Source organism: Homo sapiens, chromosome 15 (genome assembly GCF_000001405.40).
Source record: "Homo sapiens chromosome 15, GRCh38.p14 Primary Assembly".
Classification (NCBI taxonomy): domain Eukaryota; kingdom Metazoa; phylum Chordata; class Mammalia; order Primates; family Hominidae; genus Homo; species Homo sapiens.
This window is the reverse complement of record NC_000015.10, coordinates 58,601,903-58,616,817: the sequence shown is the minus strand read 5'-3', so window position 1 is coordinate 58,616,817 and position 14,915 is coordinate 58,601,903. Positions and strand designations below refer to the sequence as shown.

The 14,915-nt window shown below is 37.8% G+C and overlaps 1 protein-coding gene across 2 annotated transcripts in view; it reads left to right on the top strand.

Annotated features, from left to right (window-relative positions):
• The window catches only part of ADAM10 (ADAM metallopeptidase domain 10), a 160,899-nt gene that overhangs the window by 132,890 nt on the left and 13,094 nt on the right, over positions 1-14,915 (top strand). For both annotated transcript variants that reach the window (NM_001320570.2, NM_001110.4), the window contains 3 exons: positions 4,827-5,010; positions 5,711-5,819; positions 6,301-6,521. In NM_001320570.2, coding sequence (NP_001307499.1) covers positions 4,827-5,010; positions 5,711-5,819; positions 6,301-6,521 — 514 coding nt within the window. The remainder of the gene's footprint in view (positions 1-4,826; positions 5,011-5,710; positions 5,820-6,300; positions 6,522-14,915) is intronic.

Genomic DNA, 14,915 nt, shown 5'->3' with positions numbered 1-14,915 from the left:
GTATTTTTTTAGTCTCAATTTTGTTTATTTCTGCTCTGATCTTCATTATTTCTTTTCTTCTACTAATTTGGGGTTTGGTTCGTTCTTGCTTTTTCCTGATTCGTTGAGGTGCATTGTTAGGTTGTTTATCTTTCTACTTTTTCTATGTAGACATTTATTGCTATAAACTTCCGTCTTAATATTGCTTTAGCTGTATCCCATAGTATTTGGTATGTTGTGTTTTTCTATTTTCAGTTGTTTCAGAGAGCTTTTAAACTTCATTTTTAATTTCTTCATTGACTCATTGGTTGTTCAGAAGCAAGTTGTTTAATTTTTATGTGTTTGTACAGTTTCTAAAGTTCCCCTTGTGATTGATCTCTAGTTTCATTCTGTTGTGTTCAGAAGAGATACTTGATATGATCTCTGTTTTTGAACATCTGTTGATAATTGTTTTATAGCCTAATATGTGGTCTATCCTGGAGAATGTTTCATGTGCTAATGAAAAGAATGTGTATTCTGCCACAGCTGTTGGATGAAATGTTCTGTAAATGTCTGTTAGATCTATTTGGTCTAAAGTATAGTTCTAATCCAGTGTTTCTTGATTTTCTGTCTAGATTATCTGTCCAGTGCTGAGAATGGGCTGTTGAAGTCTCCAACCGTTACTTTATTGGAGTTGATCTCTCTCTTTAGATCTAATAGTATTTGCTTTATGTATCTGGGTGCTCTGGTGTTCGGTGCATATAGATTTAGAATTGTTATATCCCTTTGCTGAATGGAACATTTTATCACTATATAGTGATCTTTTTTGTCTCTTTTCACAGTTTTTTTTTGGAGACAGGGTCTTGCTCTGTCACCCAGGCTTGAGTGCAGTGGCATGATCTCGGCTCACTGCAACCTGCGCCTCCCGGGTTCAAGCGATTCTCCTGCCTCAGCCTCCCTAGTAGCTGGGACTACAGGCATGTACCACCATGCCCAACTAATTTTTGTATTTTTAATAGAGACGGGGTTTTGCCATGTTGGTCAGGCTGGTCTTGAACTCCTGACCTCAGGTGATCTGCCCGCCTCGGCCTCCCAAAGTGCTGGCATTACAAAATGAGCCACTGTGCCTGGCCCTCTTTTCACAGTTTTTGACTTAAAATCTGTTTTATCTGATACAGGTATAGCTAGTCTTGCTTACTTTGTTTCTGGTTGAGTGAAATATCTTCTTCTGTTCCTTTACTTTTAGTCTATATATGTCTTTAGAGGTAAAATGATTTTCTTGTAAGCAGCATATAGGTGGATGTGTCATGTGTTTGGGAGGCCGAGCCGGGAGTTTTGCTTGAGCAGGAGTGCAAGACCAACCTAGGCAACATAGTGAGATCCCATTTCTACAAATAAATGAATACATAAGTAATTTAAAAGCTACAGAGGGAGAAGAGATTAAAATAGGCCCATTCAGCCAGGTTGTGTCTTTTTAAGTAGGGGGATTTCATTGGTGTATATTCATGATTGATATCAGTAGGTGAGGACTTCCTCTTATCATTTTGATAATTATTTTCTGGTTTTTTTTTTTTTTTTTTTTTCTTCAGACGGACTCTTGCTCTGTAGCCCAGGCTCGAGTGCAGTGGTGCAATCTTGGCTCACCACAAGCTCCGCCTCCTGGGTTCACGCCATTCTCCTGCCTCAGGCTCCCTAGTAGCTGGGACTACAGGCGCCTGCCACCACGCCCGGCTAATTTTTTGTGTTTTTAGTAGAGATGGGGTTTCACTGTGTTAGCCAGGATGGTTTCGATCTCCTGACCTCGTGATCTGCCTGCCTCGGCCTCCCAAAGTGCTGGGATTACAGGCGTGAGCCACTGCACCCGGCTGTTTTTGTTTTGTTTTGTTTTGTTTTTGCATATTCTTCTTTCTTTTTTTCTCTCATTTAGCATTGTGGTTTGGTAGTTTTCTGTAGTGGTAACATTTGACTCTTCTTTTTCTCATTTGTATATCACAGTGGCCTGTATTGTACAGCTTTGTGGTAATGGCGGTGTTGGTGTACGTAGGTTGTTAGCATTATAATTCTGTGTGTTTTCACAATGGTGATTATTGGTTTTTTTTGCTTCCAGGTGCAGGAATCCCTTGAGTATTTCTTGTAGGGTCAGTCTAGTGGTGATGAATTTCCTATTTTTGCTTGTGTGGGAAAGACTTTATTTGTCCCTCATTTCTGAAGGTTAGTTTTGCTGGGTATAGACTCTTGGCTGCTAATTTGTAAACTATCCTTCAGAAATGAGGGACAAATAAAGTCTTATAGATTCTTGGCTGCCAATTTGTTTTTTCTTTCAGTACTTTGAACATATTATCCCATTCTCTCCATGCCTGTGAAATTTCTGCTGAGAAATCTGCTGCTAGTCTAATAGATGCTCCCTTATATGTGACTTGATACTTTCCTCTTGCTGTTTTTTTTAGAATTCTCTATGTCCTTGACTTTTGACAATTTGACTATAAATCCTCAAGGAAGACTTCCATTTTCAGCTATTATTTTAATAAATAGGTTTTCTTTTTTTTTTCTTTCTTTTTTCTTTCTTTTTATTTTGAGACAGAGTCTTAACTTCATCACCCAGGCTGGAGTGCAGTGGTACAGTTTGAGCTCACTGCAACCTCTGCCTTCCAAGTTCAAGTGATTCTTGTGCCTCAACCTCCTGAGTAGCTGGTATTACAGGTGCGTGCCACCATGCCCAGCTAGTTTTTTTCGTATTTTTAGTAGAGACGGGGTTTCAAGCTCCTGACAAGTGATCCACCTGCTTTGGCCTCCCAAAGTGTTGGGATTACAGGTGTGAGCCAGTGCACCCCAGCCAAAACAAAGGTTTTCTGTGCCTTTTTAAATCTCTTCTCCTTCTGTAGCTTTTAAGTGATTGATTGATTGGTTGCAGAGATGGGCTTTCACTACATTGCCTAGGTTGATCTTGAACTCCTGGGCTCAAGTGATCCTCCCACCTCAGCCTCCCAAAGTTCTGGCATTACAGGCATGAGTTACTGCACCCAACCTTCTGCAGCTCTTATAATATGAAAATTTATTCACTTGGTGGTGTCCCATAAGTCTTATAGACTTTCTTCCTTTTTTTTTCCTTCCCCTAAATGAGTAATTTCAAACATTCTATCTTGAAGTTCAGAGATTTTCTTTTGCTTGATCAAGTCTGCTGTTGAAGCTGTCTATTATATATTTTTATTTTATTCACTGAATTCTTAAGCCACAGGATTTTTGTTTCTCTTTAATGATATTTATTACTTTTTTGAATTTCTCATTCATATGAATTGTTTTCCTAGTTTCATTGAATTTTTTATCTATATTTTCTTGTGTCTTTTCCCTCAAATCATTATTTTGAATTCCTTTTTAGGCAATTTATTGATTTCCTTTTCTTTGGGACCTGTTGCTAGAGAGTTAATTATGTTCCTTTGGTGGTGTCATATATATTTGTTTTTTCATGTTTCATGAGTCCCTGTGTTCATGTCTGTGTGCCTGTCTGGTGGAACAGTCGTCTCATCTAAATTTTCTAGAGTGACTTTCATGGAGATATACTCTCACCTGTAGCTAGGTCTTAGTGTGCTGGTCGGGAAGGGTGTGGTGCTTCTTTTTCCAGGTAGGTGCAGTGGTATAGTCTCCATGCAGCTTCTTCAGCTGTATTCAACATCATCAATAACTGTAGGCACCTCAGTGGTCTGTGCTGTAGAAGTTTGTGGTAATGGATGCTGGTGGTGTAGGTTGTTAATGTCCTCAGTGGCAACGCCTTTTGGGGCCCTCCTATTCTCATTTTTCCCATAATGGTGAGACTTAGCCAAGGGGATCCCTCTTGGTGTCAGGTCTGACATGGCCTACGAGCACCTGCTGCGGTGCTGGCTTCCAGTTGCGGATGCGTAGAGTAACTGTGGGGCTGGAGTTCTAGGCTCAGGATCTCACAAACCTATTATGGTACTTGTGTCTTGCAGTGCATGTTTACTGTCTGGCAAGATTGAATGTAGGTTGCCTATAGCACCAGGATCTGTGACTCTGGGTTACTCCCTAGCACCTTGGGCCCAGCGGGCCAGTCTGTAGCTGGGATTATACACTTTGTGGGCAGGGTATAGCCCGGGCTTGGGTCCAGGGAAGAGGTGCTCTGGAGATTTGAGCCCAGAGCACAGTGCATGGCAGTAATTTCGGAGCCTGAGCCAATAGGACTCAGTGACGAGTTGGGTCACCGGGGATGGAGGTGGTGGTGAGTCTAGACCCTGGGATGGTGGGGCTTGGTGGTATCCCAAAGTCTGTGAGACCAGGTGCAGCAACAGCAAGTACCTCAGAATGTTCAAGCACAGCTGTCATTTGGGCCCTAGGGGGCAGGGAACAGCACAGTGATGACTACTGTGGGGAGAAGGGTGTCTCAGCAGCTCAGACTCTAGGGGGCTAGTCTAGCTCCAGGGAAGCAGGGTGCTAGAGTTGTTTGGCCTGTAGGCATAGTATCCCAGTTCAGCCACTGATATTTCCCTGGGATGTGAGTTACTGTGTTGGCTTAGCCCTGGAATGCACAGCTCCTCAACTTGGCCAAGGCATTATTACCTGAAGGAGCAATGTGCTGCTTTATCTCATACCCTGCAGGGTGTGACTTTTCTGTGTAGGCCCAGGCACTGTTTCTTTGGGACACACGGCTCCACCAGTGCACTGTTTACTCAGGAGGGCGGTGTGCGGTTTCAGTTTTTTGAAGTTGTATACCAGTAACATACTTATCATTTAAGTGATGAGACTTAGGATTTAAAAATTGGTACTATGTCTAATAATGTGGATCTAATCTAATATCTAATAGTATATAGGGAATAACTAGTGATTTACTTTGTTTAATCACTTAATGTTTCCTCTAGTCCAAGTCAAGGTCCTTGTTGTACAGCACAGTGTGCATTCAAGTCAAAGTCTGAGAAGTGTCGGGATGATTCAGACTGTGCAAGGGAAGGAATATGTAATGGCTTCACAGCTCTCTGCCCAGCATCTGACCCTAAACCAAACTTCACAGACTGTAATAGGCATACACAAGTGTGCATTAATGGGGTAAGCATTTAACTATATGTTTTAAAATTTAATTTTAGAAAACTTGTTTTTCAGAAGAATTATTGATGCTTAAAGCTACATAGTTAAAGTAATTAATCTTGGTCTCTGTTTAAGTAATATTCCCTCACAAAACCATGAATATATTATGTGGCATTCAATTAGCTACTAATTTGTCTTTCATCTTTCCATGTACATGTGGTTGATATTCTCTAGAGAAACATAGTTGTACAACTCGGCATGTGATTTGTCTATAATATTTAAGTTTTATAAAATAATATTTCAGTAGCCTAAATAAAAGAACTCTTTGGTCATCTTCTCTGAATATCAAACCTTCAAAGCTTTTGTGGCTGAATATCACTTTGCTCTACAGGAAAAAAATTTAATTTTTCTTTCTTTATAGAAGAGCCGTAATAACCAACATAAAATCGATCCTCATCTAATCTCTTGCTCTGCTTTTATTTCATTTTTTTAAGTTGCCATTGCTTTAAAAGATTTACTATCTTTCTTGGATTTACTGTTTTTCAAATTTTTTCAAATGTATTTATGTAATTCAGTTTTGATACTCATCTCTGTTTGTTTTTCACTTTCATTTCCATTTAAATATTTTGACATTGGAAGCTCATACTTGCCTGTCTGTTACTATAAAAAATAGGTTTGACTGTATAGGGATTAAACAATTTGTCTTTTATTTTTCTTCTAGCAATGTGCAGGTTCTATCTGTGAGAAATATGGCTTAGAGGAGTGTACGTGTGCCAGTTCTGATGGCAAAGATGATAAAGAATTATGCCATGTATGCTGTATGAAGAAAAGTAAGGCTTTTAAAAACACAAGAGTATAAAATTTGCCTCAAACTATTATTTTCTCCTAAATTTTAAGTGTAAAACTTTGACCTACAGTTTGGCCAGATAATTTCCAGCTAAATCTGTCCTCTTGAGGAGATTATAAATGTAACGTAGCATTGTGTCTCTATTATTATGGTCTCTACAATGTTTTAAAAATGATAAACTAGACAAAACGTTGCCAGCTTTACAGCAGTAATTTACATAAACACTGTTAGACTTTAAGTCATCGTGGACACTGAGTCAAGACTTGCTGGTTGCTTGTTTACATTGTAACATTTAATATGAATTACTGATGGCGTTACCCAGCCTAACTAGAGAAGGTCTGTATAACATGTTATGGTAATGATTTCAGTTTTTTTTCCCTCTTTGTATTTGCACAACTGGAAATCTGATCTTCAACTTATATTTGAATCTGACCTTCAGCTTATATTTGGCATTTCTTTTCCAGTGGACCCATCAACTTGTGCCAGTACAGGGTCTGTGCAGTGGAGTAGGCACTTCAGTGGTCGAACCATCACCCTGCAACCTGGATCCCCTTGCAACGATTTTAGAGGTTACTGTGATGTTTTCATGCGGTGCAGATTAGTAGATGCTGATGGTCCTCTAGCTAGGCTTAAAAAAGCAATTTTTAGTCCAGAGCTCTATGAAAACATTGCTGAATGGATTGTGGTAAGTATGTTTTTTATTTACAAAGAAAACTTAAAGTGGTTTGATCTTAATTTTACTTGGCCAGAAGTCATCAAAGTTACGAGAAAACAACTTAACTATTTATATTAGAATTACTTTATATGAAGATTTTTAAAGTTCTAATATTTCTGGTTATTATTTCCTTCTGAAGTGATCAGAATCATGTGTATCATTCATAGATTGCTTAGTAGGTGATGGGAGTCATTCTGTTTTACCGTGCTCCTTAGTTCATCTCCTGGATGGGTTACTTCTTTTGGTGCATATTATTAGGGCATTTTCATGGGACTTAAAAAACATTTTTTTTTGTTGTTTTTCAAGACAACTTATTTGCCCAAATCGTGGACTAATTGGTGATTTTTCCTGATCTTTCAGTATAATCTCTGGGTCTTTATCTTGTTTGTAATAGGAAATGTTGAACAGAATAAGATCAGATACACAGCCTTTTGTAGATCTACTAATGATTATGGATGTTCATCCAGCAGTAATCCACTGAACGCTTATTTTTAAGCCCACATATCTCCAAGTTGTACAAACACAGAATTACCTGATGTTTTCTTAAAAGATTGTCAAGATTGACTATCTCAACTTAAGTGTTCATGCTTTAAAAGTGATAACATTAAAATATCTATAGGAAGCTTGCAAATGATATATTTGAGAATGTGCTATAATTGAACTGAATGTAGTTTGCTTTGGAAATTGACTTATAACTCACATTCCCCTTTCTCAAATTAGTGTGTATGTGTGTGTGTGTGTATGTATGTATGTGTGTGTTCAGAACTATGGATGCCTTAAAGCACAAAAGATGTTGTTTGTGTGGGATGTCAGCCTTTTTTGTACTCTTCTAATAACATTCTAGAGTAAAAATTTTATAGTTAACCCCAGCATTTAAAATGATGTTTACCGTTCCTAGGACACATTAGGATATGTGGTTTTTAGATATGTAATGATCATGGAGTAGAAGGATTGTTGAAATTGGATTTAGGAGATCTACCTAGGTTTCAAACCAAATACTTGAGCAGTTGACTTAACTTAGGTTTCCTTAAAACATGTTACTCTTTTTTTAAATTCCTGTGCTTGTTGCGTGGTAAGTTCTAGTAAATACCTGTCAAACTGAAGTTGTCTTCTGGTACCATGGTGCAGTGGAAAGAGCACATGTTTGAGAATCACGTAAGGATTCAAATAATCTTTCTGGTGTTTATCAATTCTGTGACTTCAAGCAGCTTACCTTTCTTGGCCCTTCTTTATTTTCAACTCAGCTATTTTTTTTTCTGATTGTCTCTAATAAGAAAAGTTGAAATTTGGTATACTTGTCTGCTGTAGAAGACAGTGTATACAGAAAACGAAAGGAGATCTCAGAATTACATTCTACTGAGTATATATTGTGCTAGATATTTTAGATTTTTGGGGTACTAAGTCATATCTAAACATAGCATTTTTTTACTTTTCTCTGTTATCTCTAATTTTCACTCATTACATTATTTAGAATTTCAAAAGCCCATTTATTTTCACTTTAAAAATATTTAATAGACATGATCTTTTAAGTATTTTTAAGACCTTTTCTCCCCATATTTTAGATGTGAGGATTAATGAAATGTTTCACAATGAATTGGCAACATGAAGTCCTTTCTTGTGCTCTGGAACTAATTAATCAGACACTTTCAAGTTCATAGACGTTGACTTTAAGTGTGTGTGGGATAGAACATGCCTTTATTTTATATCATTGTTGACAGGCATATGCCAGTCTTTCGAATAGCATGCTCATAATGTGTGAAGAGTACCGCTAGGCTGTTGGTGCATTTGTGGGCATTAACCACATCAAGCAGTAAGATAATAAACATCTGGTCTTTACAAGTTACTTGTCTCATTTGCTTATGTGCATAGTTTACTTGCATACCGGGATTTATCATGTTAGGGAAGTGCCCTTCCAGTTAGTAATACAGATTATCAGGATGCTCTTGTGTAAGAAGCTGTGAAAGAAGTGAGGGGTTAGTTTCACTACTTTCCTTTCCAGTGGTGCCTGGTGGCGTTTTGTCTTCTTTCTGTGTTACACTATGGCAGCTTTTCTCCTCATGCAGGGTAGAGTAGGAAGAACCTTAACAATTTAGAACTTCAGGGCATGGGTTATTGACTGCTGCTACTGGTACCACGGAAGTGATACTTTCTTTTCTGTGTTGACAACTATGTTTTGATTTTTCCAAATACATTTACTGTATTTGCTGAGTGCCTACTGTGTGTTTGGACAGGATAAAATGATAAACATCCTTTGGATTTATCAAAGAGTCATCTAGTTCTTGAAACATTTAAGAGCATTCATCAGTAAATCTGTTGAGACCTTATTTCAGCATCTCCTTTTCTTTAATTAGGGATTGAGGGCATTGGTAATTCATTTCCAGTTTCTTCTATAGTTGATGTGTTCTGATTTTCTGTATCTTTCATGTTAGGTTTGACATTGTAGAAAACTACCTCTTACCTTGACTTTTATTGTTCAAATGTATTGTTGTGTTTCCCCTCCTTTTAAAAATCATTGCCTGATGATTTTGTGGCTTTTTTCTTTTTAACTTGTTCAGATTTATCAGGAGTTTGTATTTTTGTATTGCTAATTTATCAAGAGTCAAACACATTCTCATTTTAAAATTAGTTTCTGCTGTCATATTTTGCTATAATTTTATGCATCTAAGTAGTAAGTATCTGGTATTCTTTATGAATGAAAGATTTAGAGCACTGTTTCCCAAATGCTTAACAGAACACTAGTTCCATTAGATGTTCTGGGCCTTCAATGGTCAAATGAATCTGGAAAACTACTCCATACTATAGACCTTTCTTGGAGATTTGTGAGAAGACCTGCAATAAATAAATCGTTTAAACTTCATTTTCCAAACTTACCTAACCCTAGAAACTTTTATGATGAAAAGACTAAGTCCTAAATATCCTTAGATGTCATTTGGAAAAATATTGATTAATAGCAGTAGTTCTCAATCCTGATTGTATACCAGAATCACCCTAGGGTTTGGACTAATTAAATCAGAATCTCTTGGGTTTAAGTATCTGGGTCTTTTAAAACTCTCCAGTTAATTCTGATGAGGAGCCAGGGTTAAGAACCACTCATCTAGAACAGGGGTTGGCAAACTATGGCCCATGGGCCAAATCCAGCCCGTGCCTATTTCTGTATGGCTCAGAAGCTAAGAACGGTTTTTACATTTTTAAATGATTGAAAAAAATTTAAAAATTATCAAAACATTCTTTTAAAAATCATATGAAATTCAAATTTCAGTATTGATAAATAACATTTTATAGGAACATGGCCACACCCATTTGTTTACACATTGTCTTTGGCTGCTTTTGCACTTTGAGTAGCTGCAACAGTGACTGTATGGCCCCACAAAACCTCAAATGTTTATCTGGGCTTTTATGGGAAATATTTGCCAACTCCTGATCGAGAGCGGTGATCTCAAAGTGTAGGCCTGAGAAGCAGCATCAGCATCACCTGGGAACTTCATAGAAATGCAAATTCTTACGTTCCATTCCAGACCCACTGAGTCAGTAGGTGATGGTGCGTGCTAATAGTTTGTCTGCCATTTTTTTCAGTCTCTGTGATATGTGACTCCTTTTTAAAAAGACTTGTAACAGAAATTTTCCATTTTATCATCTTGATATGTTGAAAATAGAAGGTGGTTTCATTGCTTTGTGGAACAGACCACATAGCATAGCACTTAATGAAACTTTAACAACAAAGATATAATGATATTGTAAGGTTTTCAGCATATAGTGAGGACACAGTATACATTTGCTAGATGAATGAAGCAGATTTCTCAAATGTAATAATTTATATGGAAAAGAGTAAAACTTGTGCATATTAACTTTGAAACTGGAATGTTTTCAGGTTCCTGTTAGTGGTATTTTATCTTACTTGCCCAGGTTGAGCTTAAAGTAACCAAAAGTTTAGTAGCAAGTTGCTTTCTGCTTGGCAGATCGCTGTTGCTGCTGCTGCTAGTGGTGGTGGGAGTTTGAAGGATAGGAGGAGTATATATTCAAAGCCCAGACTATAGTATTATGTCTTCTGAAAAATTGAAAGGAAACTTTCTGCCCCTATAGGGATGACATAATCAGTATCATGGCAAGGAGCTCTGGGCCCCACATGGTCTTGTGACCCATGGGAAGTCCAGAATGCATTTGCTGAGAGTGAGCGTTGTTGAACACTGCAGTATTCATTGAAAGGATCATATGGTTGACTTTCTGGAGGTCTTTAAGAACAGTAGATTATCTTATGTCTGAAGAGACTTGAGTGCATGTCTTCCCTGTCCTCGCTCATGCACTTTTTTTTAGATGATACTTGCTTTGTCATTTTGTTACCATATAGGTTCTTTTTGTTTATATTTAGATTATCAAATTAAATACTATTGTAATTAATACATAATAAATTAGACTATTTAATTTTGACTTTTTACTTTATTATTGGCTATGTTTAAGTGCCTGTATTGAACATCATCTCTCTTTTTCTTATGTAGAATTATTTTCTGAGTTGAGAAACTTCTTGAGTTTTTGAAAAATGGTTGGATGTCTTCTCTTTGTCCCTAAAGTTTTGCTTAACACCCTTGTCTCTGGGATATAAGACCCTGGCACTCAGTTTACGCTCAGTAAATGTTCATTGAATGAATGACAGCTCCCCTTTCTTTCAGACTAACAGGTGGGCAATTTGTGATCTTTTCTTTTGAGAGAAATGCATATTTTACATTTACTACCCTAGTTAGTATTCCTTTCCCTGATTTTATAGTATATTTAAAGGGGATAGCATGTAATTTAGCATTTAACTCATTCTTTTTTTAAAAAGGAAAACTATAAAGGTGGCCGTACTTACTAATATTTTCAGATGCACTATTTATTTTGTTTAGTTTTTCTTACTGTCTTTTGTCTATTGCCATGTTCCATTTCCCCACACGCTAAATTCACAAAAGCTACTATCATTGGCACTAAAACATCTCAAGCATTGGGCTTGTGAGATACATAGTTACCTGAAAAAATTTAGAAGAAAGCCAGGAACACTGTGCTAGAAGGAACTGGAAGTTCTGAAGGGCTTGAGTGCCATATTTTATTATACATCTGTTGATCTAAACTGCGACTAGGTTCTTTTTACCTTTGTTTTCTACAGTTTTAACCACTACTAAATCTGGGCTTTCTGTCTCCAATCTGCCTCTCTTACTGCCATAGCGTGTACTCGTATGGCTCTTTATTTAAATCTATAGGCCAGGTACAGTAGCTTATACCTTTAATCTTAGCACTTTGGGAGGTTGAGGAGGGAAAATTGCTGGAGACTAGCAGTTGAAGACCAACCTGGACAATCTAGCAAGACCTGTGTGTGCAAATAAATAAATAAATGAATTCGCAGGGTGTGGCGGCATGTACCTTGTAGTCCCAGCTACTCAGGAGGATCACCACAGCCCAGGAGGGCAAGGCTGCAGTGAGCCGTGATTGCACCACTGCATTCCAGCTTGGGCAACAGAGCAAGATCCTGTCTCTTAAAAGAGAAAAAAAAGAGTGTGTAGGTACTAAAAAGACTATCATTAAATATATCCAAACCAGTTTTACTGTCCTATCTCTGTTGTAACGGCCTTGTCACATTATTTGTATGTGTTAGGCAATCTGGAAGTAATAAATGAGCTGTTAGTTATGTTTCAAGGTCAATATTTAAATAATGACTTACTTGTAATAACTAGTTCAACAGGTATTTTGTTTGTTGGGTAGGTACTGAGGTAATAGGATATAAGTCCAGGGAGCTCACAGGTCAGTTTGGGATAGAGAAGACAGGCCAGAGAAACATATCTTCAGTCTGTGTGCTGTTTTCACAGAACTGGGAGAACCTATTAGGAAAAGCCTTTAAGGAGATAACGCCAGAGCTAAGTTCTTTGTTTATTTTTATTTTTGAAATGGAGTCTCACTCAGCCACCTAGGCTGGAGTGCAGTGGCGTAATCTCGGCTCACTGCAACCACCGTCTCCCAGGTTCAAGCGGTTCTCCTGTCTCAGCCTCCTGAGTAGCTGGGATTACAGGCACCTGCCATCATGCTTGGCCAATTTTTGTATTTTAGCACAGATGGGGTTTCACCATGTTGGCCAGGCTGGTCTTGAACACCTGACCTCAGGTGATCCACCCGCCCCGGCTTCCCACAGTGCTAGGATTACAGACATGAGCCACCGTGCCCGGCCAAGCTAAGTTCTTAAGAATTAGTAGAAGTAGAGAGTACAGAAATATTTTATGGGGACAGAGCATGTGAAAAAGTCACAGAAGTATGAATTTTGCAAAACATTTTTTTCTACTTTTTTTCTTTTGAAAAGTTTGATTATTCTTTTTTTAGTTGACAAAGTAATACATTCTAAAGTAGGCCTTTTTTTTTTTTTTTTTTTTTTTTAACCCTGGACCCCCAATCTTTCTAGGATGGATTTCTTGTGTATTCTTCGAAACTGTCTATACCACTGTAAGGATATTTACTTTTTAAAAAGGTGGAATCATATACACTTTGCTGTACTTTATCGTGTGCTCAAGTTTTTGCTTTTGCTTTTTTTCCTCTCTCCTACATAGTGGTCTATCTTGGAAATCTTTGGTGGGAAGCATTCGAAGAAGGGTTTGACATGAAGGAGTAACATGGTCAGTTCCATATTTTAGGTAGCCATAACACTGATGGCCATATTTTCATAAAAATGAAAGTAAAGATGAAGGAAGGAAATATATTGAAGATGATAATGACTTTAGGAAGAGAAGTGTGTCTCCTGTACCCAACTTGCCCATCATCGTGAGAAAGCTAGTAGGAAAACTCTTAAGCCTTTGTACTCATGGATTGGCTCACATTAGAGGTGTTACCACTTCCCCAGCAGGTGTTTGGAAATGTACGGTTGTTGTCAGAGTAACTGAAGGGGCTCTACTGGCATTTGATGGTTGGGGGCCAGGGATGCTAAACTTTCTGCATTACTCAAAATGGTCGTGTACTGCTTTGACAGACTGAGGGTGGCCTTCTACCCTGTCTTGCGATAAGTAGCAGGTCTGTTATTTGAGGATGAATAAAAACAAAAAACAATAGGAGTCTATGGAATACCTATATAATAAAGGAATGGGAACATCATCCTAAAGACTAACAAGGAGAGCAGAGCTCTGAACACAATTTTTATAGAAAACAAAATAAAACTTAAAAAAAAATCTGGCAGTCTCAAGAAGTGGCTTTTAGAAAGTAGATTGTAAAGTTTTAAATTCCAAGCCAGATTCAGCCCTGTCAGCATGTTTTGTGTATTCTACACATTGTTTTAAGAAATTTCTCACAAGTTTGCCAGCATTTAAAAATAGATTTTAAATAAAAATTCGGATATATTGCTTCTCTTGAAAAATCAGATCTTTAAGCAGTAAGGTTGAATTGCATTCCACCTTACCTTCCATGTAAGCTTTTGAGTTTGCCGTCCCTGCAATAACAAGCAATGTGAGGGACAACCATGATACAGTTTTTACAGATTGAACAATAAACATGAAAATAAAGAGAAGAAAGGTGTCTGTGGGACTCTTCTGTATAGAGATCTAATCTGAGAATTAAATAAGACTGAGAAATGACACTCAAGTGTAAATCATTCTAAGTTTGATTTTAAAATTGAATATATATATGAATATGTGTGTGTGTGCATATATATGTACGTATGTATATATCTCTTTCCCTTTTTTATTCCCTCTCCTTTTTTGAAGCAGTTAATTCCTAAAGCCATTAGGTGAGCCCAAGCAAGGTAGGCATCCACGCCAAAGTTGGGGAGCTATAGTGGCACAGAGCAGAGTGTTGGAAGCTGACCAGGTTCAGAAGGTGTGGGATGGGGAACACTACCAGTATGGGGTTTCAGAGCCCAAGCAGGGTGAGAATTGCACCCCTGTGGAGGAGTGACTGGCATGGGATGTCAAGAGTGCAAGTAGGATGAGGAAGGTGTCTACATAGGAAGGGTAGGACTAAAAGAAACCAGGGCTCTTTGGCAGGTTCCAAGGCTGGGGTAGGGAAAGAACAGGATAAATCTGGAACTTCTTGTTGGGCCAGAAAGTAAGAAAGTGCTCAAAGAATGATGAGGACATGTCCAAAAAACACAATAATGTCAGTAATTGATTATATATTTATAAAAAATAGGAAACCATGAGGGAATAAATAAATGAATACATTGAAAGTTTGATGAAGAACAGGATATTTACATACTTCCAAATTAGGTCCCTACAAAATTTTCATTGTCTACAAAAGAGAAACAAGAATCATGGTAAAATTTGGCAGATAACACCTTAATCCAGTGATCAAGTTAACATCAGCAGTAATGAAATAAAAATCACGTGTTACTTGATAGGATGCAGCGAGAACACAGCATCTGTGATA